We start from the raw sequence: 1,282 nt of genomic DNA on the forward strand, positions 1-1,282 counted from the left end.
TACTCGAAGGTCAGTCTGCTGGAGGAAGTATGTGGGCAGTGACCCAAGGGCCTGCCGGGTAGTCCATGTCTTTTCAGGTGGATTAAGAATCACAAAGCGCAAAGCCATCTCCAAATGTCCCATCCCTAATTCCCCTTTAAGCCACTCTCACCCAGTTGTGTCCTCCTTGATGCTAATATTTCCCAAGAACCCCAGAATCTATACCAATAACTTAGCTTCAAGAGAATTTGTCCTACTCACGAAGCACAGAGATAGTGAACCCTAAAGGCATATAAATGTGCAGAGAAAATAAATCTGTCTATGATGATGAAATAACAGGGCCAGGACAACAGTATCATCCTTGCCCAAAAAACCTAACTGTCATCCAATAGCTTTTCTTATATCTATAACCCTGCTGGAAGAATGGTAAACCTTGCTCAGCACTTCTGGAATGCAAGTGAATCAACTGTCAACCTCCTTTAACTCTGCTTGATGAAAGGCTTACACAAAGCATATCAATAGAAATTTTGACACATGGAAGTGGGGTGATACTGTGACAAATACCTAAAAATGTAAAAGTGGCTTTGGAATTGGGCAGAGATTGGACGAATGGTAGAGAAAACATAAATTGGCTCAAATAGGCTATAAGTAGATGGGATTTTGAGGATGGCTGCTGATGAAGGTGCAGAAGGAAATAACATGTTATTAGAAACCAGAGGAAGGGAGATGCTTGGAGTGGCAGAAAGCTGAGCAAAGTTGTTTCCTGTGGTATATGGAAAGCAAAACATTAAGGAATGACCTTGGTTATGTAACTAAAGGGATTTCCAAGCAAGATGAGGAAAGAACTACCTGGCTGCTTCTTGCTGCTTATAGTAAATTGCACAAGGATACAGATAAACTGAAGGAAAACCGTTAAACAACAAAGAACCAGGACTTAATCATTTGGAAAAGTATTAGATTTCCTAGATAGCAAAATATGTTAAAATTAAGAGATCGCTTCTTAGCACTGTCAGGAAAATATGGCATGGAGAAAAGGCCAAGAGTGTGACTATACAGCCTTTTATTAGAATCTAAGACAGATCAGAGGATCAGAGTAGTTTTCAGTTACTCAAAGGGCTCTTTCAACACATTAAAGGTATACCTCACAGATGCTTTAATCAAATCAGAGGGACCTGGGGAGCTTAAAACTCTTCTCCCTCAGTCTTCTCAGCAAGAGGCCAAGGTAGAGAAGGGCTATCTCAAAAAGATCTGTAAGTGTGGCTTTTGTTGAATGACACGAACCCCATTGAAATCTGTGGAAGAC

At 40.7% G+C, this 1,282-nt stretch overlaps 1 annotated feature.

The window, feature by feature from the left end:
• Positions 657 to 826: an enhancer, noted in NCBI's record as "experimental_34994 CRE fragment used in MPRA reporter constructs". NCBI's record gives its function as "activates a minimal promoter by MPRAs in K562 erythroleukemia cells, with activity observed for both the introgressed and non-introgressed 14:63825672 variant alleles {active_cell/tissue: K562}" and the evidence as "EXISTENCE:reporter gene assay evidence [ECO:0000049][PMID:34662402]".

Source organism: Homo sapiens, chromosome 14, assembly GCF_000001405.40.
Source record: "Homo sapiens chromosome 14, GRCh38.p14 Primary Assembly".
Lineage (NCBI taxonomy): Eukaryota > Metazoa > Chordata > Mammalia > Primates > Hominidae > Homo > Homo sapiens.